The sequence below is a fragment of the Homo sapiens genome, chromosome 14 (assembly GCF_000001405.40).
Source record: "Homo sapiens chromosome 14, GRCh38.p14 Primary Assembly".
NCBI classification, from domain to species: Eukaryota; Metazoa; Chordata; class Mammalia; order Primates; family Hominidae; genus Homo; species Homo sapiens.
In genome coordinates, this window is record NC_000014.9 from 67,541,138 (window position 1) to 67,561,484 (window position 20,347).

Consider the following 20,347-nt stretch of genomic DNA (forward strand, 5'->3'; position numbering starts at 1 on the left):
CCATCTAAATAGAAGATTGTCAAAGACATTCAAAGCATTATATTTTGTTTCCATTTTTTTCTCATCTAACATTTTATATAGATGAAATAGAATAAGAAATAAACTGGGAACCGGGGTTCTGCCTCTAATTAGCTATGTGACCTTGGATGCATCTGTTACCCACTTTAAGCCTTCCCTAAACACATCCCTCCCACTTTTCCCAGCTCCCATTCCCATTTATCTGCAAGTCACTTGGCAACTATGACTACATTGTAATTAGATTTTCCTAAGAGTTCCTTGAAAAACACAAAGACAAGGAATTTCTCTTAGTTCTGTTTGCATCTCCAGTGCAGAGCACAGGGTCAGGCATATAAGTAGCTGTTTAATGGATAAGTTTGTTGTGTGAATAATGGATAATTGAAAAACAAATGAGCCCTACTTTTCACTTCTGTCCAAATGAGACTAGGTTCTCCTTAAGGTTTCTCAGGTTTCGCGGTTTCCTGAGGCTCTCAGCTAACTTACAATGGAGCGGGACACACTGAGCTGAGGAAGGCAGGGAGGGGCCCTGGGGATCAGTGACCAATTCTCTTCCCCAGCCCTGTTTTCTCTTCCCCAGCCCTGTTTTCTCTGTCCTTTGGTCCCCTCCCGTTCTTTCCCCACAGAACTCTTCCTCACACGCTTATTTATCTTTTCCTCTTTCTGCATGCTGGTTCTTAGGGCTCCCCAGAATAATCCAGAAGTCGATTCCATCATGGCAGAACTCAAGGTGGAGGCGCCGGCCAGCGTAGACTGGCAGAAACGCTGCCTGACCCTGGAAACTCAGCTTTTCCGGTTCCGCCTACAGGCCAGCAAGATAAGGGAGCTGCTGGCTGACAAGGTGAGTCCCTCAGAGCAGGGAGCTGCCTCTCCACACGCAGAGGTTTATGGCAGGGAGGGCCGTGTGAGAGAGGGAGAGTTGCGGAAAGTCAACTTTCAGTAAGATGCTTTTCCCCATATGCAAAATGAAACCCAAGGTAGTTTAAGACCAAAGTCCGAGCAGTTTACTAAGCTGTTATCTTGCTTGCGTCTTTGCTCGCTCATTAAGGCACACCAAAGACATGCTGCCAATCTTCTCGGTCCCCCATCACTTCCGGAGTCACCTGTGGCTGCAGCGGAGAGGTTCTATTATTCCCTTAACGTTTCTTTCTCAGTGTGGGGAAGGACGGTGTTTCGGGAGAAAACAGAAATCTCTACCCTTCCTCTCACCCTTTGTTAAATAAATGAGCTACAGGAGGTGTTCTGCTTTCCTGGTAACAAGGACACAGGCTTTGGAGCCAGACCTAACTTGGCTCTGCCACTTACTGGCTAGATGACCCTGGGCAAGTCCCTTCACCTCTAAGGCAAAAAAACACAAATGTCTACTTCTAAGAGTTATTTTGAGAATTATATCAGATCACATATGTAAAGGTCCTGACATAGAATAGGTCTTAAATGGGAATAATTATTTTATTTACAGGTTTGGGTGGGCTGGTCTGGGAAACTGACCACCTTTCCTAATGTTTCTGTGGGAAGATAACATTCTATTTTATTTTATTTTATTTTATTTTATTTATTCATTTATTGAGATGGAGTTTCGCTCTTGTTGCCCAGGCTGGAGTGCAATGGCGCCATCGCAGCTCGCCACAATCTCCGCCTCCTGGGCTCAAGCGATTCTCCTGCCTCAGCCTCCGGAGTAGCTGGGACTACAGGCATGCACCACCACGCCCGGCTAATTTTGTGTTATTAGTAGAGACGTGGTTTCTCCATGTTGGTCAGGCTGGTCTCGAACTCCCAACCTCAGGTGATCCTCGCCTCAGGTGATCACCTCAGCCTCTCAAAGTGCTGGGATTACAGACATGAGCCACTGCGCTCAGCTGGAAGATACATTCTAAACTGCTAACTTTCAGAGGCATTCTGGAGCATAACCCATCTAGAGAGTGAAGACCTGCACTTAAAATTAAGTGAATCAATCATTATATGTATAGTTTTGTTTATAGTATCCATCTGCTTAGCAAACCCTTCTTTCATAAGTACAAAGGGAAAATTCAGCTCACACCTCTCCAAAGAATGTCAAAGTCTCAATTAGTAAAGCCCAAATGGATGACCTGTTTTATTGATAGCTGGAGTCCAGCAGGACAAATCAGTGGCATCACCATGGCTAAGGGGAGTGGTCCTGGACTAGTCTGGACTAGAACTCTTGAACCTTGGGTCTGTTGACATTGTTGTCTCCTAACTCAGACTTTGCAAAACAGAGATGTGCAGGGTACTGCCAGGTACTGCCGATAGAAAGGAATGAATATACATCAGGAAAGGGCAGCAGACCTTAGACAGTGATTCTCAAAGTGTGGTCAGAACCGTTTGGCCAGAACCACGTAGAGTGCTTGTTAAGCATGCATATTCCTGGGTTCTACCCCAGTCCTCTCAATTGAAGTCTCCTGGGGGGTTGCTAATAATCTGCATGTTTAACAAGCGTCCAGAAAATCATTCTGTACACTATGAAGTTTGAGAACCCTGACTTAAGCTATGGTGTTGGAGGAGGGACGAAAAGGAAGGAAAGGATAAGTAGGGATTGACTCAGCCAGGCAGTCTGAGATATATCTCGGAGGGAAGAGACTTCTGTTTCTAGTAATATGGACAACAAAATAACAAAAAAAAAACCCACTATGAATCACCTGGAAATACTGGGTTAAATATTTAAAATATTCATGTAAATGCAGAGCTGAGCACAGAAAAAAGTAAGAAAAGTCCTCAGGTAACAAAATGAAGAGGGGATAGCCACAGTGGTACTCAACTCTGACAGCTGATTGAGGGGCAGGTGGTGTGTGACTGGCCTCCCTAGAGTAATGTAAGGTTTGAAGTTAGAGTTTTAATATCTGTGGGGATAGAAATGAGGACTGGCCAGCTGGAGGTTGGAGCTGAAACAGACTTCTGCATCAAGTCAGGACTATTATTTCTTTTGATTAGTGTCAGTATGAACAAAATTTAAAAATAAAAAATGGTCAGGAATATTAAAGGGCTTACCCTAAATAACAAGGTAGACAAGGAAAGGAAAATCATTCACTGGCACAGGAGATGACAATAGCTTCTCAGACTTAGTTAAGGCTCTGGGTAGAAAAACAAGAGTAGAGTCTCCCCTGAGAACCTGACGATAACACTGGTTTAATGTTAGGATTTATACTACCTGTGTGGTTTAGGAAACCCAAGTTCTGGGCCAGTGATACCCCTGGGGAGCCTGGTAGGGACAGAAACAAAACCTCTCTGGAGACACAAGACCTCAATTCAGATCACACAGGATCCACACAGAAAAAAAGCCTTAATGAAGAGGAATATATAATCAAAAATGACTAAATACTTGAGGAAATAATCTACAATGAGTGAGTATCCACAGACACAAAAAACAATTAGACTAGATCCCCAACAACTTCTAATAATGGAACTGTTGGCAAGAGACTATGAAATAAATGAGTTCAAAAGTTTTGAAGACGTAACAAAGAAAATGAAAGCATAAGACAAGAACAAGACACTACCTAAAAAGATCAGGTAGACTTGAAAACTAAATAGAACTTTAATAAGTGAAAGTGTTTTTATTGAAATTAAAATGTATTAATGGATAGATTAAACATCAGATTAGGCACCATGGAAGATAGACTTAATGGACAGGAAGACAGACCTAAGGAAATCATCCAGAATGCTGCCTACAGAAATACAAATACAGCAGTTGAGACCTGGATGTTAGAATGACAAGGTCCTGTATCTATCAAGTAAGATTCCATGAAAGATAGTGGCTGAAAATTTCCAAACTTGATGAAAGATGTGAAGCCTCAGATTCAGGAAACAGAATGAGTCTAACCAGGGTAAGTTTTTAAAAATCACAGTTTGGTTAGATCATTGTTTGGCTGCTGTAAGAAAGAACCTCAAATAACAATGGCTTAAACCAGGCTGATGTTTCTTTCTTTCTCATGTAACCTTCCAGACATAAGCAATCAAGCTCTAGGGTGATGGTCTCTGGATATTTGAAGATGGGTCATCTGATAGTCACATTCCAGCCCCTTCCCTTTAAGTTAGTGACTCGGAGGTTTCATACCTTTCTTCTGCTGATATGCCACTGGCCAGATCTTATTCACATGGTTATACCCAGCTACAAAGAAGGTTTGTACATTTCTACAAACAGAAATGTAGTCTTTATTCTGAATAACTATGCGCTCAGCTAAAAGTTGGGGGTTCTATTTATATGAGAAAGAAAGAGAGGATAGATAATAGGGAAAAACCAGCAGTCTTTAAGTCTAGACTAATAGGAGGGATAACAAATAGAAACAGAGTATTCATACCTCAAATCAGTAGAGAGAGGAAATGAAAAAAGGAAAGTCTATTAAATACAGATAGGGACAAGAAAATAATATATCAAAAAAAGGAGTAAACAGAAAGGACAAATGAAGTGGCAGAAATAAATCCAAATATATCTGTCACAGGGTGACATATATTGCAGCATTGATGTATGAAAATTTGGAAACATTCTAAATGTCCATCAACAGAGAGATGGATAAACATATTCAGTGTATTTGTACAGTGGAATACTACATTGCAATTAAAAATGAATCAAGTAGAACTACATTTGTAAGATCAGTAAATCTCAAAAATCAGCATTGAATAAAAAACATCTGAAGGATATATACAGCATCATACAGTTTATGTACTTCTAAAAACCTTCAAAGACAGTACTAATTGTTGTTTCTCATCCCAGATCCGTGCTCATGGATTTTATATATTTGGGAATAAGCATCTGATTTCAATTGAACAAAAGCTCTGCTGCTAAAAAAAAAAAAAAGTTGAAAACACTGTCTTAGATTACAACAGTTAGAACCATTTAATGGCTAACCTGGGGGTTGCAAAGTCAAATGCTTACAGGTAAGCTAGATAAGTGAAAAGAGCCAGGTGGATTCTGGGAGAACATGAGGGGACATGTTGAAGCCACTTATTGCCATAAGAAAATGTAACCCAGGTATTTTTACTATATACAAATGAGGTAAAAATATAAAAACAACCAAGTGTAGGGTCAACGCCGGGGGAAGGGGGTAAAATTGGAGAGAATTATGCAGGGCTTCAACTATATCTGTCATGGTCCATTTCTTAAAGACAAACATCAGAAGCAGATGTGACAAAAATTAAGGGTTGACGAAGCCGAATGGTGGATATATGGTTTTTTGGGATTTTTTTAAGACAAAGTGACAAGTGACAGGCAGATACATGTGTTTTTTGTTTTGTTTTTGTTTTTGTTTTTGTTTTTGAGACAAAGTTTCTCTCTTGTTGCCCCGGCTGGAGTGCAGTGGCCCATTGCAACCTCCCCATCCTGGGTTCAAGCGATTCTCCTGCCTTAGCCTCCCGAGTAGCTGGGATTACAGGCGCGCGCCACCACGCCCAGCTAATTTTGTATTTTTGGTAGAGATGGAGTTTCTCCATTTTGGTCAGGCTGGTCTTGAACTCCCAACCTTAGGTGATCCACCCGCCTCAGCCTCCCAAAGTGCTGGGATTGCAGGCGTGAGCCACCGTGCCCAGGCAGCAGACACATGTTTTTAAAAAATTATTCTCATCAGGCATGGTGATGCGTGCCTGTAGTCCCAGTGACTTAGAGGCCAAGGTAGGAGGATCGCTTGAGCCAAGGACTTTGAGGCTGCAGTGAGCTGTGATCACACTACACTCCAGCCTGGGTGACACAGCAAAATCCTGTCTCAAAGGATATATATATATTTTTTCTCTACATGTTTCTGTTTGCCTAAAGTATTTCATAATAAATGTTTTAGAGTGTGCCTGTCTACCCTATTCCTCAGGGGCCAACAGAGTGACTGGAAAGCCTTAACCACCTTATAAACACCATACCTTCTTTCTCTACAGCCCCTGGAGTCTGGGTAAACTGAACTTTCATAATATTGACACCTTCTTGTCTTCAAGTCTGTCTCTGATCCTCATGTAACCAGAATGTCTTCACATGGAAATGTTAGGGGTGCATAGTGTGATGAGTCAAGAAAGGGGAAAGGCATAGACACGGGAGGAACAACTGGGCATGTGGGAGGAAAGAGGGGAGAGACACAGATCTGGACTAGGGACCATGGGGTGGGAGACTTAAGAAAAGGGCTGGGACCTGAGTCCGACACTGGACCTCTTGGCAGGAAATCTTAAGGCCACAAACACCATGTTGGTCAATGTCAGGATTGTGTCTGTCCTCTGCAATCATCCCTAAACCAGTAAGACAGGTCCAGCAATTCATGAGATGCTTTCCCTAGCAGAGCCAAGACAAGTTATAGATCGCAGGAAGAGATGCCTTGGGTTTCTTAGGAGAGCTCCTGCTGGGGCCAAGAATCATGGCCAGTTGCTACACGCACTGGGAGGAGCCATGTCAGTTGAGTCTCTGGCCAGCCCTCCCACCCATCTGCTCCCCTACCTCTCTACCCAGCTGGCCCTGGGACATTACATGGGCTGATGACTGCAGGCTGCTCACTGCTGGCTATCCTGTAGGGTGAGCAAAGCCTGGGTGCTTCCCTGGGGGACCATCTCTGCTTAGGATCAGACCTGCCTGTGGGCTGCGGAGGCTTGGAAGAATGCCCTTCTTCCTACCTTGACACAGTCTACTTGCACCTGACTCCCTCGTACAAAATTGTCATTCTAGTCAGGGAATAATCTGTGCTAAAAAGAATTTTTTTAAAAAAGCAGAAACATCAAGGCTCTTAGATAATCCCTCACCTAAGGGAGAGAGAGCCGGATGAAGGGAGAGGAGAGTTGAGACTGTGCCTTTGCTGTTACACCTCTGGGTCTGGTGTGCTATTGCCATGGTCACCCAGCCTGCCTGGGCCACCCCATTCTGGAGCCAGGTTAGCCATGGGTTCCCTTTTCTTCCAGTAGAGGAGGCTGAGGGAGTGGCTGATGACTTGAGATTCACATCTCGCCCTGCTTTGCTCACATCATTTTCCCTAGCTGTCTTTCTTGGCCTGCTAGAGAAGCCACAAAGGCTATTCAGACCAATTTAAAAATTGATACTGTTCTGAGAGGCCACATAAATGGATATTAAAATGTGATTCTTCCTTGGACTTTTTCATTCTTGCTAAACCTGTTTCTCAGTTATCCTATCAGAAAAGTGGGAGCATAGTATCTATCCACAAAAGAGCTTTGTAGGAATTATCATTATGACTACATGGCATCAATATTAGAACTAATACAAGGTTTTTCTTTACTCCCTATCTGCTTCTTTATGCCAAAAGGGCTTTGAGGGTATTAATAAAAGAAGAAATAGGCCAGGAGTGGTGGCTTACACCTGTAATCCCAGCACTTTGGGAGGCCAAGGCGGGCAGATCACCTGAGGTCGGGAGTTTGAGACCAGCCTGACCAACATGGAGAAACCCCGTCTCTACTAAAAATACAAAATTAGCCAGGCATGGTGGTGCATGCCTGTAATCCCAGCTACTCTGGAGGCTGAGGCAGGAGAATCACTTGAAACCGGGAGGCAGAGGTTGCGGTGAGCCAAGATTGTGCCATTGCACTCCAGCTCGGGCGACAAGAGCAAAACTCTGTCTCAAAAAAAAAGAGAGAAGAAATAATGTGACAAAACATTATTCTTTTTGTAGCTTAAAAACTTCTAACTGAAGCAGCGTTTACCAAGTCCAGTTCCAGTGCAACCATGTGTACTTTCGCTCTGTCACAATCGCTTGCCAGTTTCACCAGCCAAGGTTTTGGAGTATAACTCAGTTTTTGATCTACCTACCAAAAATTTGTAGTTCAGAAATTTTTCTGAGTGGATAAATGGTTCTGTTTACTCCCCTTAAGCAAGAGAACAATGGATGTTGCTCCTTCCACCTCATATGGATTATACAGAGGCAGCAGTTCAGCTTAAGTGCCAGTTTCACAACATATGGGTAGCCCAGAAAAACATATCCTAAAATATCTCATACTTTGTGACAAGGCCAGGTACCATAAAAGGAGAATACAAGGATGAGTTGGAAGTATGTTGAAGTTTGCATAAAATCATCATGGAATGGGTCTTAGCAGGTCTTTGTGCTCACAGATCTGATTTGTTTTGGGAGAAGATGCCTTCTAGGGCTTTTATTCTGTGGGGTGTGTGTGCGTGTGTGTGTGTGTAAAAGAGATTTTTAATTTTTTTTTTTTTTTGAGACAGAGTCTCACTTTGTCACCTAGGCTGGAGTGCAATGGTGTGATCTCAGCTCACTGCAACCTCCGCCTCCCAGGTTCAAGAGATTCTCCTGCCTCAGCCTCCCGAGTAGCTGGGATTACAGGCACATGCCACCACGCCCAGCTAATTTTTGTATTTTTAGTAGCGACGGGGTTTCACCATGTTGGCCAGGCTGGTCTTGAACTCCAGACCTCAAGTGATCCGCCTGCCTCGGCCTCCCAAAGTGCTGGGATTACAGGTGTGAGCCACTGCTCCCGGCCTTAAATTGCTTTTCTAACCCTCTATTTTTATTATAAGGCTGCCCTCCTGCTCACCATAGTATTTCTCAGGAACCATGTATGGATGAGTTCTGTAGTGCTCGTGAACCATTTGAGAAGGGGTGCTGATGGGGCTACGGCTCCAGGCTGCATCCCTGAAGGAGTCAGCTTTGTTTTGCATTCTGTGGCCAGGCTACTGTTTCTTACAGTGTGGTCTGTGGACCACCACCTTCATCCACAAGCGCTTTCTTTATAAGCACTTTCTGGAGCTATGTCTCTGACTTGCTAAAGAAAAGCTCTGTGGGCAGAGCCCAAGAATCTGCATGATGACAAAGCCCACATGTGATTCTTACGCCCTTGAAAGTCTCTCCTGCAACTAACCTCTGCCATGGCCTTACCCCGGGCCCCATTCACCTGTCTTTCTAGTGGATCCCTGGAGCCCCATGTGGCCCAGAGAGGTTCTGGGGTTGTGGGGTACAGTGGAGCCCACAGACAAGACTTGGAGCCCTTTCTCTTCCCAGCTCCGTATTTGTGTATTTTATGTATTTGGAAATAAGCATATGATTTTAATTGAACAAAAGATCTGTTGCTAAAAAAAAAAAAAATTGAAAACCATTGTCTTTATATTTTTTATTTTTTGAGGCAAAGTCTCACTCTGTTGCCCAAGCTGGAGTGCAGTGGCACCATCTCAGCTCACTGCTACCTCTGCCCCCGAGGCTCAAGCAATCCTCCCACCTTAGCCTCCTAAGTAGGTGGGACCACAGTTGCACACCAACATGCCTGGCTGATTTTTGTATTTTTAGTAGAGACAAGGTTTCAACATGTTGTCCAGGCTGGTCTCCAAGTCCTGAGCTCAAGTGATCCATCCGCCTCGGCCTCCCAAAGTGTTTGGATTACAGGCGTGCACCACCGCGCCCAGCCAAAACAATTGTCTTTGATAACAAGAGTTAGAACAATTTAATGGCTAAAACTGGGGGTTGCAAACTCAAATGTTTGCAGTTAATTTACATAGATGAGACAATGAAGAGAGTGAGAGGTTCTAGGAAAACGTGAGGGGAAGGGCTAAAGCCACTTACTGCTATAGAAAATAGAAAATATAATGCTAGTGTGGCCAGATCTTTTGATTTTTTAAGAGAAGATGGAAACAAGATGTATATGGAATCTGGATTTTTATGTGACATGTGAGATTTGGATGTGAGAGGCAGTGTAGTATAGTGGCTGACAGAATGTACTCTGGAGCCAGTCTACTTGAGTTTGAATTCTGGCTTTGAATCTTAGTAACTGTGTGACCTTAGGCAAGTTACCTTACCTCTCTGTTTTAGTTTCCTGATCCACACAATAGAGATACTAACAGTACCTGCCTTCTGGGGTTGTTAAGAAATGTAAATGAGTTAATGCATGTACAGTGCTTATGACAGTGGCCCTGTTTAGCTACATAAGTGTAGCCTAAATATCCTACATGTATATACACACAGCCCTACACAGACCAAGTGGTCCTGTTTAGCTATATACATATAAGCTAAATGCCCACAACACAGTGTGAGTCTTATAGGACACTCTTTAAATTAATAGTGGGCAACCTCTGGCTTAAACCCATTCTTTCTGTAGGTGAATCCTAAGTAGTCCGATCATATAATCTATCACCTAAAGCAGGACACTCTGGAGAGAAAGTGAAAGGAGGCTGTATTACTAGTCATGCTGAGACAACAGGTGAGCATCACACTGTCCCGGCCAAACTGGTCTCCCTGCTCCTAAGTGCCATCTTTGTATAGGACAAAAGCCAACAAGCAGCTTTTACCTATAAATTTCTGAATGCCAAGCCATGCACATGTACTTTACATGGGGCAGCTTGTGGAATCTTCACAACGATCCTAGGAGGTGTCATTATTATTATATATATATATTTTTTACTGATGAGGAAACTGAGGCACAGAGAGGTTAAGGAATTTGTCTAAAGCCACACTGTGGTGGAGTCAGTGAGGTTCCACTGCCTTACCTCTTAGCTGTGCCATTCTCTCCCGTGGGTGCAAGGCAGCGGTAATAATGTTGAACCTTTCACGCCTGTAATCCCAGGACTTAGGGAGGCCGAGGCAGGCGAATCACATGAGGCCAGGAGTTTGAGACCAGCCTGACCAGCATGGAGAAACCCCATCTCTACTAAAAATACCAAAATTAGCCAGGCGTGGTGGTGCACGTTTGTAATCACAGATACTTGGGAGATCGAGAATCGCTTGAACCTGGGAGGCGGAGGTTACAGTGAGCTGGGATTGGCCACTCCAGCCTGGGCGACACAGTGAGATTCTGTCTAAAAAAAAAAAAGAATGTTGAACCCTTTTCTCAAAGGGATCATTGAGACCCGGGATGGTGTGGCTCTTGGCTCAGGCCACTGCTCGGCACAGCAGGACTGTGCTGGGAGTACAGGAGAGTCCCAGGTGCTCCTGCCACTGTGGGCTGGTATTTCACAGCATCTCACAGCGTGTGACAAGGAGCTGTACACTTGGGGGTTAAATACCAGATTGGTGCCAAGTGCACTTCATCAGGTTGCTGCAGCCAGTTCTAGGGCAGCTTATGTGTCTTATGTGCAGCTGGTGAAAGTAGATCCCTGTCAGCCACCTAAACCTGACACCTCCTTGGCTGGCGTGTTACCCCAGACCCACACACTGAAAGGACAGCTGAGGACATGGTCCTAGAGGACCCTGGAACAGCCAAATAAGGGTTCTATAGCACCAGCTTTGCAGAGCTCCAGGTGTGGCCTTTAAGCAAAGGTGAAGAAGAAAGATCTGCCCTCGTGAAAAGTGTTGATGCTGGGGCTAAAGTGTTCAGACATTAGTTTTAGAGAAAAAAGAATACTGCAACATAAAAGTGAATATGAAATGCTTTGAGTGTCAAGTGTCCTTGCAGGGTGGATAAGAAGGACTGGCTGGGTGCGGTGGCTCACGCCTGTAATTCCAGCCCTTTGGGAGGCCGAGGTGGGCGGATCACGAGGTCAGGAGATCGAGACCATCTTGGCTAACACGGTGAAACCCCGTCTCTTCTAAAAATATAAAAAATTAGCTGGGCGTGGTGGCGGGTGCCTGTAGTCCCAGCTACTCGGGAGGCTAAGGCAGGAGAATGGCGGGAACCCGGGAGGCGGAGCTTGCAGTGAGCCGAGATCGCACCACTGCACTCCAGCCTGGGCGACAGAGCAAGACTCTGTCTCAAAAAAAAAAAACAAAAACAAAAAGAAGGACTGGGAGGGTCGGCAGTAATGAGGACCACCTGGCAGTGACAGAGGGTGACCCAGGGCTGGGAGGATACCCCAGGGGAGACCCCAGGCTCTGAAAAGTGCCTTGCCATTCAATCTACTTCAGTAATAGCATGTGCATGGGATAGATAATAAAATCCGGAGGGGAAAAAATGCTCGCTGTGTTGTCAATAACAGAGCGATTTCTGGTTCTGACCAATGTCATTGACTTATCACTCTTGACCCAAATGGAAATGCCTCCATGAGAGGTAAGACCCAAGTTTATCCTTTACTCCACCTTGGTCTCCATTTGCAAAAGAGCAAGACAAGTTTTTCCATCAGATGAAGTCAGAAAATATCAGCCAATCGTTTCAGAATGTCACAAATATGAATTATCATTTCTAATGGAAAGCCTATGCCTTCTTCTGAGCTACAGAGCAGATTAGTTAGGTCTCAGTAGTCCTGCTGAAGTGCAACCTAGGAAACTTATTGAGGGACCAGGGCCTTCCCGTTCAGTATTTCATTTTATTCTTGAAAAAGAAAATGCTCCTCATCATTGCATTCATTAGATTATTTCTGTGTGGGTAAAAAAAAAACCCCAAAACCCAACTCTGTCTGGCTTAAGCAAAGGGGATTTATTAGAAGGATCCTGGGGCAGCTCACAGAACTGAAGGAACTATCCAGCAATCATGACTTGGTGAGGTTTGTGCACCTTCTCCAGGGCACCTCCCTGGCTCCAGCCTCTGATCTCTTGATTCCAGATTCCTGGAGAGAGAGAATCTGGCTGGTCCAGTTAGGTCTGGTGTCAAAGAGGGAAGGGTTATGCAGTACCAACACTGGGGGCCACCACTATGTATCAACCAACCCCCCACCACCAAGGAGAATTCCTTTTGCACTGGGCAACCACCCCTATAAACATAATATTGATTTATGCTGTGCTGTTATCTGCCCCGTGGCTGCATGGCAACTGTGTGAAGGTCAAGGAACTCCTCTGGGACAGGCCTGAGGACTGTTTGACTTAGGACAGTCCATCTGGCTCAAACCGATGCCTGAAACTGACCAGAACCAACCCACCCACTCAGCTTCCATCTAGAGGTTTCAGTAGTGTTACCGCAAGAGAGGAAGGAAAGAAGGGATGTGGGTATCCTTGGCTTGAACACGTGAATGCCTGTCAGAGGGGGCCCTATCCATGGGAGCACCAGGGCATTTTTGTCCCATATGGGTTGTAAGTCTTGAGTTTTACTTGGGATCTTCGGATGAGCATAACTCTAACTCTCTGTCCAAGGGAATGTGCCCCGAAAGCATCTGTGTCTCCCCAGTCCCAGAAAGGAGAAAAAAATGGATGAGGGAAGGCCACCCTGAGCAAAGAGATCCCCCAGGTTCCCAAATATGAACTACTGCTTCCATGTAACTTTCCTCTCACTGTCTAGCAGCAGGCTGGGGGGTCCTGCTCATCTACCTTTTAATTAAGGAAAGCAGAATTTCAGCTGAGAGATTGGGAAAGAGAGAAGGATTGATCAGTTCACTGGTAAATATCAGCTAGGGTCCAGGCTGAAGGGAGAAGGTTGAGTAGCCAGAGAAGAGGCCAAATCCTTAGAGAGGAGGTTGGGCTGGAACTTGGGAAGTGAGGGGCACTGGGCCTGTCCAGCCTCGTGGAAGGCGTGGCTGGGATGCAACGCCTCTGGGACATGTATGATGCATATGTGTTACTCTGGGACAAGGCAGGCTGGGGAAGGAAGCAGCAGCCCCAGCTAGGCTTGGCACATGGTGTTAGACATGAGAGCGGGATGCATGAATTTGCTCTGCTTCTGCGGGTCCTCCATGTGATGATGTCCAATTGGGCAGCACACGGTGGTGCCCTGGCAGGGGAAGAATGGGAGCTGACATCTAACGCACACTTCACTTGCCAAGCCATGAGCTTGAGAAGCTGCAAAGAGATGCCATGTAGGCTGTGGGCTCGTGAGCAGCTCTTTAGTCTTCAGCTTAGGTCTGGTCCCTGAAGAGCCTCCACGTACAAGAACTTCAGTCCCTTTGCTTGGGCCACTTGGTGTAATATCCAGAATTTCCATGCTCCTCAGCCTTGAGTGACATGCCTCTACTGGCAGCAAGACAGAATTTTTACTTTTTTAAATTTTTTTTTGAGACAGGACCTTGCTGTGTCACCCAGGCTGGAGTGCAGTGGTGCCATCTCAGCTCACTACAGCTTCAACCTCCCAGGCTCAAGTGATCCGCCTGCCTCAGCCTCCTGAGTAGCTGGGACTACAGGCGCACACCGCCACGCTCAGCTAATTAAAAAAGAAAAATTTTAGTAGAGATGAGGTCTTGATATGTTGCCCAGGCTGGTCTTGAACTCCAGGGCTCAAGTGATCTTCCCGCCTTAGGCTTCCAAAGTGCTGGGATTACAGGCATGAGCCACTGTGACCAGCTCGCAAGATAGAATTTTGAAAAATGTATCTTGAGCCTCTCTTTCTCTTTCTAGTTCTTTAAGATTCAAGAAATCAAATAAGGTGATAGCCCTGAAGCCCTTACAGGCAGAGGTGCCCTCGACTGTGGGTGAGGAGGTATTCATCCCCAACCAGTGAGATATTCTGAGTGGGGAGAAGTGTTTTCTATCGATGACACAGGGTGGGCCCTATGGGAGCAGCAGCATGGCCCCACCTTCGACCCAATGCTGAGAGGAAAGGGGCCTCAGGAAGGGGAGACTGAAGCCAGGACAGGGTGGGATGCTCAGGAAGAATGACAGTGGAGCTGCTGCCCTCCCCGGACACCCTCCATCAGGACAAAAGAGCTGGGCCTCCACTCCCTCAGTAGAGAGGACAGCAGCCACGGGCTCTTCACCTGCCCCATGAACTCAGGATTAGGGAGCTGAGAGTTGCCTTGAAAATCCTTACCCTGACACTCTCGAGCCACTTGAGATGGGCACTTGAAGTCTGGCCTGTGTGCAGTGTGTGCACAGTTCTCTAAAGTGGCCTTGATGCCGTGTTCACAGTAGGGACATGGCACCTACATCTCCCCTTTCTCTCTGGCCAAGCAGATGCAGGAGCTGGAGCAGAGGCTGCTGGAGGCAGAGCAGAGAGCAGAGAACGCTGAGACCCAGGTAACCAGGGGAGGGGATCGGCGGGAATATGCAGGGGAATGACCGTCGGCCCTTCCAGGCCCTTCCCACGGACACAGGTGGACACATACATCACCAGCAGTACTGTGTTATACCTGAACAAATGAGTGTGCGTGGAGCTTTCTGTGGGAGTAGAGTCTCTGGGTAAAGATCAGTGTAGCAAGTGGGCATAGTAGTCCAAATAGGCTAGACTATGCTGTGGTAACAAATTAAGTCTGAAGTCTCAGTGGTTTATCACATTTAGTTCTCACTCGTGGAACCTGTCCATTGAGGGTTAGCCAGTGATTCCGCTTCCACAGTCACTCAGGAATCCAGGTTAAAGGAGGCTTGCCTATCTTATAGCTGGACCACTTGGAATGCGCAGCCTTCTTGGTTGCCATGGCAAGGAAAGAAAGCTGGATGTATTTTTTATTAGAGATGGGGTCTTGCTATGTTGCCCAGGCTGGTCTCAAACTGCTGGGCTCAAGCTATCCACCTACCTCAGCCTCCCAAAGTGCTGAGATTACAGGCGTGAGCCACTGTGCCTAGCCTTATTTATTTATTTTATTTTTTAAATAGAGACAGGATCTCACTATTTGCCCAGGCTGGTCTTGAACTCCTGGGGTTTAAGCAGTCCTCCTGCCTCAACCTCCCAAAGTGCTGGGATTACAGGTATGAGCCACCACACCCACCCTGCACCAGCTTTTAAATACTTAAGCCCAGCGGGGTGTGACGGTATGCACCTATGGTCCCAGCTACTTGGGAGGCTGAGGCGAGAGGATCTCTTGACATCAGGAGTTTGAATCTAGCCTGGGCAATATAGCAAGATCTTATCTGTTTTAAAAAAATTTTAAATAAATATATACATACATACATACTTGAGTCTAGAAATGATGCACCATTTCCACTTGGACCCCATTGGTTGGATCAATGACATGGCTCCATCTAGCTGCAGAAGGGTTGAGAAATATGGGTCAGCACATGGCTGTCCAGTGAACAGTAAATATCTCTACCACGGTGGGGTTGGGACAGTTGCTCTCCTAGGCTGTTTGTCCTGCCCAACTCATTCCTCCTGGGATCCACAGAGGTCAATGGCACAAGACCCAGCTGCTTTTTCCACTTATCGTCTCCTCTGCCCTCCTCTTACCTATCTCTCCATTACTAACTATGACCTAGAGTGGCCAAAATGAGTTTCTTCTTTGTCAGTCCTTCTTTTGCTCAGATTGGAACTTAATTGAATTAATTGGCTCAGACTGCCCTGGGTAAGGGCTGTGCCTGGGAGTCACAGCCTGGGGCATCAGACGGTGTCCCATCCCACGTTACTGGCCACTGCACACCCCGTGTGAGTGATGGGAAGACACTATGAGATCATTGTACTTTTCAGGTGGGTGTCATGGAAGAGAAGGTAAAACTATCCAATCTGAAGAATGTGGACTCTGAGGGGAGCCTGCACCGGAAATACCAAGAATTGCTGAAAGCCATAAAGGGCAAAGATGAGCTCATCAGCCAGCTAGAGGCTCAGCTGGAGAAGCAGGTAAGGGCTCATGCGCAAGGGAGCACCATGCCCTCTTCGACATCTGTACTGCTGGCCCCCAGCTTCCTGAGCTGTTCCGCTCAAGCCCTCTAGTGCTGGGGAACTCGCTCCCTCCTGAGCCTATTCTTTTATGTGAAAATTTAATTATAGGAAGGACTGTTCCTCCCACATCTGCTCATTAGAAGCCAGGCAGGGGATAGAGTAGAAAAAGGAGCTTGGAGGCAGACTGATCTGGGTGTGAAGCCCACCTCTAGCACCTGCTGCCTCTGACAGTGGGCAAAGTGTTTAAGTCACTGATTCTTATTTTACACATTTATAAAAGAAGGGTGGAAACACCTCATAGAGCTGCTGGGAGAGGCAACCTATGTGACCTGTGCCTAGTGTCAGGCACGTGGTCAGTACTTGGTAAGGAGAACTTTTCTTTCTCCATTCTGGCCTTGTCGTGCCCTGCCAAGATGAGATACTTGATACTTGGCTGTAGTATGATCAGAGCTGCACAGAGCTGGATGGTCAGTCGTGGCCAGCTGGTTGCCCAAAGTTTCTTAGTGAAGCTGAAGAGGCAGAGACCAAAGTTGTTGCCTCCTCAGAAAACCAGGGTCTTCCCTTCTGAGCACATGGGAGCCCAGGAGAGGCCACTGCCCAGCATTTCAGCTCCACTTGGCACCTTTGCTCCTGAGAGGACTTCTGGAACATCTACCTGCCAGTTCCTGTGTCCTGCCTTCTCCCCTTCACAATCTCACCAACTCCATCCCAGTTCTGTCCCTTTCCTCTGCCACTGGCCTTACCTACCCAGCTTTCCCCTCGTGCCAGAATGCCATCATTTCCAACTAAACACCCCACAGTCTGGACAGATGACTTTTAATTTCCTACACATGCCTTCTCCATGTAGGAGAAGCCGATCCTGGTGGTGCCTTCCAACCATAATGGGCAGATTCATGTTTACCCATCAGCATTAACCCAATAGGCCCTTAATGGAGGTGCCTTTGTATGCTGTGGGGTACCATGTGCTCCTGAAAATTGATGGAAGAATAGAATTTTGACACATGGAATCTCTGATCAATTCTTCCATTGATTTTAGACATACCTTCTCTTCTGAGTAGCTCATAGTTAGAAGTGGCAGCATCTTGGGGGTTGGTGGACAAAATGACTCCTGCTAAAGCTCCTTAGGTCAGAAAAAAGGTCATTTTACAATTGGAATCAGTAGGTCAATCTCATAAAAGAAAAGGCACTGTTTTGTGAGTCAAGAGACCTGGTTTTAGTCCCAGCTGTGCCATGAATGGACAGAGGCAAGTCACTTCTTGCCATAGCCTTAGTTGCCACAGAAGCACAAAGACAATATCAAACCAGGTCAGGGTTGGCCGACTTTTTCTGTAAAGTCCAGGTAGTAACTATTTTATGTTTTGTGGGCCACAGGTCTCTGTTGCAACTGGTCAAAGCTGCTGTTGTAACATGGAAGCAGCCACAGATAATACGTAAATGAATGAGCATGGCTGTATTACAATGCAACTTTATTTACAAAAACAGGTCTGGGTGGGGGCAAGCAGGTGGAGGACTGGATGTGGCCTGAAGGCCATTGTTTGCCACACCTTAAACTAGATGACCTTTAAGGTCCTTCCAGCTCTGAAATACTGAGAGTCTGACGTTGTCTGATGCTGGGATTATAGGCATGAGCCACCATGCCCAGCCAGGCTGCTCCTCTTCAGATGCCAACCTTTTCAATCATCTCCTCTTTTGACTACTTTGATGGAAATACCTCAGTTATCTGCAATTTTGCCTTATTTTTTTGTTTTTTAACTATAAAGGTAACACATGCTTATAGTTAAAAATAAAAAAACGGCCAGAGGAGTATAAAATGACAAGTCACCTCTCTCTCCCTCCCCAGTCCTTGATTTCTACTCCTCACTATTAACTTTGCTTGCATATGGAGGCACAGCGTTCTCCTTCCATGTCAGGGATATGCCGCGTTTATTCAGCCAACCCCTTCGTGGTGAACACTTAGACTATTTCCAGTTTTGAGTTTTTAAATTTTGTGTTACCTTATCAAATAATATTTCAACAAACGATTTCTGCTCACTGGCTTTGCGAGGTCAGTGGCACGCACACTTGGCCTTTCTTGGGGTTTCCCACCTCCAGTCAGTCACTCTCCTGGTGATTGTTGGGATTAACGGAAGGCCCTCTCTTTCTTGCAGAAGCAGATGAGGGCAGAGGAAGCAAAAACTGTTCAAGAAAAAGCTGCAAAGATCAAGGAATGGGTGACACTCAAGTTGGCAAAGGTGGGTTGGAAACTCATCTTGGAGGCCTGCCAGAGGCATGGCTGGGCCTGCCCTGACCCCCGGAGTTTCCTGCCCCCTACTGTCTAGGGTGCCTCGGCTGACCTTCATTCTGTCCAGCACTTGTTTTGCATTCAGCCTCCATGCTGAGACACCGTAGTTCACTTCCCCTTTCCTTTTGTCTTGGTTGGGTCTCCCTGGAGCTCCTGACTAGCTTGGTGCTGGATTTAAGTTTGCGAGAAGGAATGTGTCTCACTTCTGAAAAGCCCCCTCAGTTTCTTTCTAGGAAGCCCACACAGGCCAGTGTCCACTCTCTCCACTTTCTCTTTTATTTTTATTTATTTATTTATTTATTGGAGACAGAGTCTCGCTCTCTCGCCCAGGCTGGAGTGTAGTGGCGCAATCTCGGCTTACCGCAACCTCCGCCTCCCGGGTTCAACCGATTCTCGTGCCTCAGCCTCCCTGAGTAGCTGGGGTTACAGGCACGCACCACCATGCCCAGCTAATTTTTGTATTTTTAGTAGAGACAGGTTTCACCATGTTGGCCAGGCTGGTCTCGAACTCCTGACCTCAGGTGATTCACCCACCTCGGCCTCCCAAAGTGCTGGGATTAAAGGAGGGAACCACCGTGCCCTGCTACTTTCTCTTCCATCCTCTTCATTCTTTTTAACTATTTGTGTGTGTGTGGTAAAATATACATAAAATGTACCATTTAAGTGTACAATTCAGCAATTCAGTGGCATTAAGTACATTCACAGTGTTGTGCAGCCATCACTGCTATCTATGTCTAAAATTTTTCCAAACAGAAACTCTGTACCTGCTAAACACTAACTTCCCATTCTCTCTTCCCCCATCGCCTGGTAACCTCTATTCCACCTTCCCTCTCTATCTATCCATTTTTGTAGTTTATCACGTGCTGTACCTTTATTTAGGAAACTCAGGACTTGAAGCTACAGTGCTATCACCAACAGACAGAAAACAACCTCCTTCTAAATAAAAGGAGTGGGAATTGCAGTTTGGAAAAGGATGAACATATATCTTTTTTTTTTTTTTTTTTTTGAGACGGAGTCTCGCTCTTGTTTCCCAGGCTGGAGTGCAATGGCACAATATCGGCTCTCTGCAACCTCTGCCTCCTGGGTTCAAGCAATTCTCCTGCCTCAGCCTCCTGAGTAGCTGGGATTACAGGCACACGCCACCACGCCTGGCTAATTTTTGTACTTTTGGTAGAGACGGGGTTTCGTTATGTTGGCCAGGCTAGTCTTGAACTCCTGACCTCAGGTGATCTGCCCGCCTCAGCCTCCCAAAGTGCTAGGATTACGGGTGTGAGCCACCACACCCGGCTGACAAACATACATCTTTTCCTCTGTCCTCACACAAGTGGTTCACACCTGCAGGAGGGTATCAGCTCATTTGGCCTCCTATCCCCTTCTTTGGATGTACATCTCAGGTCACCTGCTAGACTGCAAGTTCTTGGAGACAGAACTGATGCCTGGCTTACCTGCGTATTCTCACAGTCCCAACCCTTGCTAAAAGATACTCAATAAAAGTGTGTTGGACTTAATTTAAAGGAAAATGCAGGCTGGGGGCAGTGGCTCACACCTGTAGTCCCAGCAGCACTTTGGGAGACCTAGGCGGGTGGATTGCTCGACACTAGGAGTTTGAGACCAACCTGGCCAACATGGCAAATCTCTGTCTCTACAAAAAATACAAAAATTAGCCGGGCATAGTGGCGTGCACCTGTAGTCCCAGCTACTCGGGAGGCTGAGGTGGGAGGCTAAGGTGGGAGGATGGTTTGA

General features: G+C 46.1%; 2 protein-coding genes across 8 annotated transcripts in view, besides 4 other annotated features; both read left to right on the forward strand.

Moving 5' to 3' along the window:
• Window positions 1-20,347, forward strand: part of GPHN (gephyrin) — a 1,227,209-nt gene that overhangs the window by 1,032,991 nt on the left and 173,871 nt on the right. The gene's annotated exons all lie outside the window — the stretch shown is intronic.
• Window positions 1-20,347, forward strand: part of PLEKHH1 (pleckstrin homology, MyTH4 and FERM domain containing H1) — a 56,323-nt gene that overhangs the window by 7,848 nt on the left and 28,128 nt on the right. For 5 of the 7 annotated variants that reach the window (XM_011537009.2, XM_017021500.2, NM_020715.3 and 2 more), the window contains exons 2-5: window positions 697-856; window positions 14,688-14,750; window positions 16,132-16,281; window positions 18,471-18,554. In XM_011537009.2, coding sequence (XP_011535311.1) covers window positions 731-856; window positions 14,688-14,750; window positions 16,132-16,281; window positions 18,471-18,554 — 423 coding nt within the window. In that variant the 5' untranslated portion in view covers window positions 697-730. The remainder of the gene's footprint in view (window positions 1-696; window positions 857-14,687; window positions 14,751-16,131; window positions 16,282-18,470; window positions 18,555-20,347) is intronic. The other 2 variants (XM_017021499.2, XM_017021501.2) reach the window with 1 other exon arrangement.
• Window positions 1,079-1,138: an enhancer, noted in NCBI's record as "active region_8581". NCBI's record gives its function as "activates an Ori minimal core promoter by ATAC-STARR-seq in GM12878 lymphoblastoid cells {active_cell/tissue: GM12878}" and the evidence as "EXISTENCE:reporter gene assay evidence [ECO:0000049][PMID:35858748]".
• Window positions 15,554-16,753: an enhancer, noted in NCBI's record as "MED14-independent group 3 enhancer chr14:68023408-68024607 (GRCh37/hg19 assembly coordinates)". NCBI's record gives its function as "activates an origin of replication core promoter dependent on BRD2, BRD4, P300/CBP and CDK7 cofactors, and independent of MED14, by STARR-seq in HCT116 cells {active_cell/tissue: HCT116}" and the evidence as "EXISTENCE:reporter gene assay evidence [ECO:0000049][PMID:35650434]".
• Window positions 18,113-18,614: an enhancer, noted in NCBI's record as "H3K27ac hESC enhancer chr14:68025967-68026468 (GRCh37/hg19 assembly coordinates)". NCBI's record gives its function as "activates a minimal SCP1, AML or CMV promoter by ChIP-STARR-seq in primed H9 embryonic stem cells {active_cell/tissue: H9 hESC(primed)}" and the evidence as "EXISTENCE:reporter gene assay evidence [ECO:0000049][PMID:30033119]".
• Window positions 18,615-19,114: an enhancer, noted in NCBI's record as "H3K27ac hESC enhancer chr14:68026469-68026968 (GRCh37/hg19 assembly coordinates)". NCBI's record gives its function as "activates a minimal SCP1, AML or CMV promoter by ChIP-STARR-seq in primed H9 embryonic stem cells {active_cell/tissue: H9 hESC(primed)}" and the evidence as "EXISTENCE:reporter gene assay evidence [ECO:0000049][PMID:30033119]".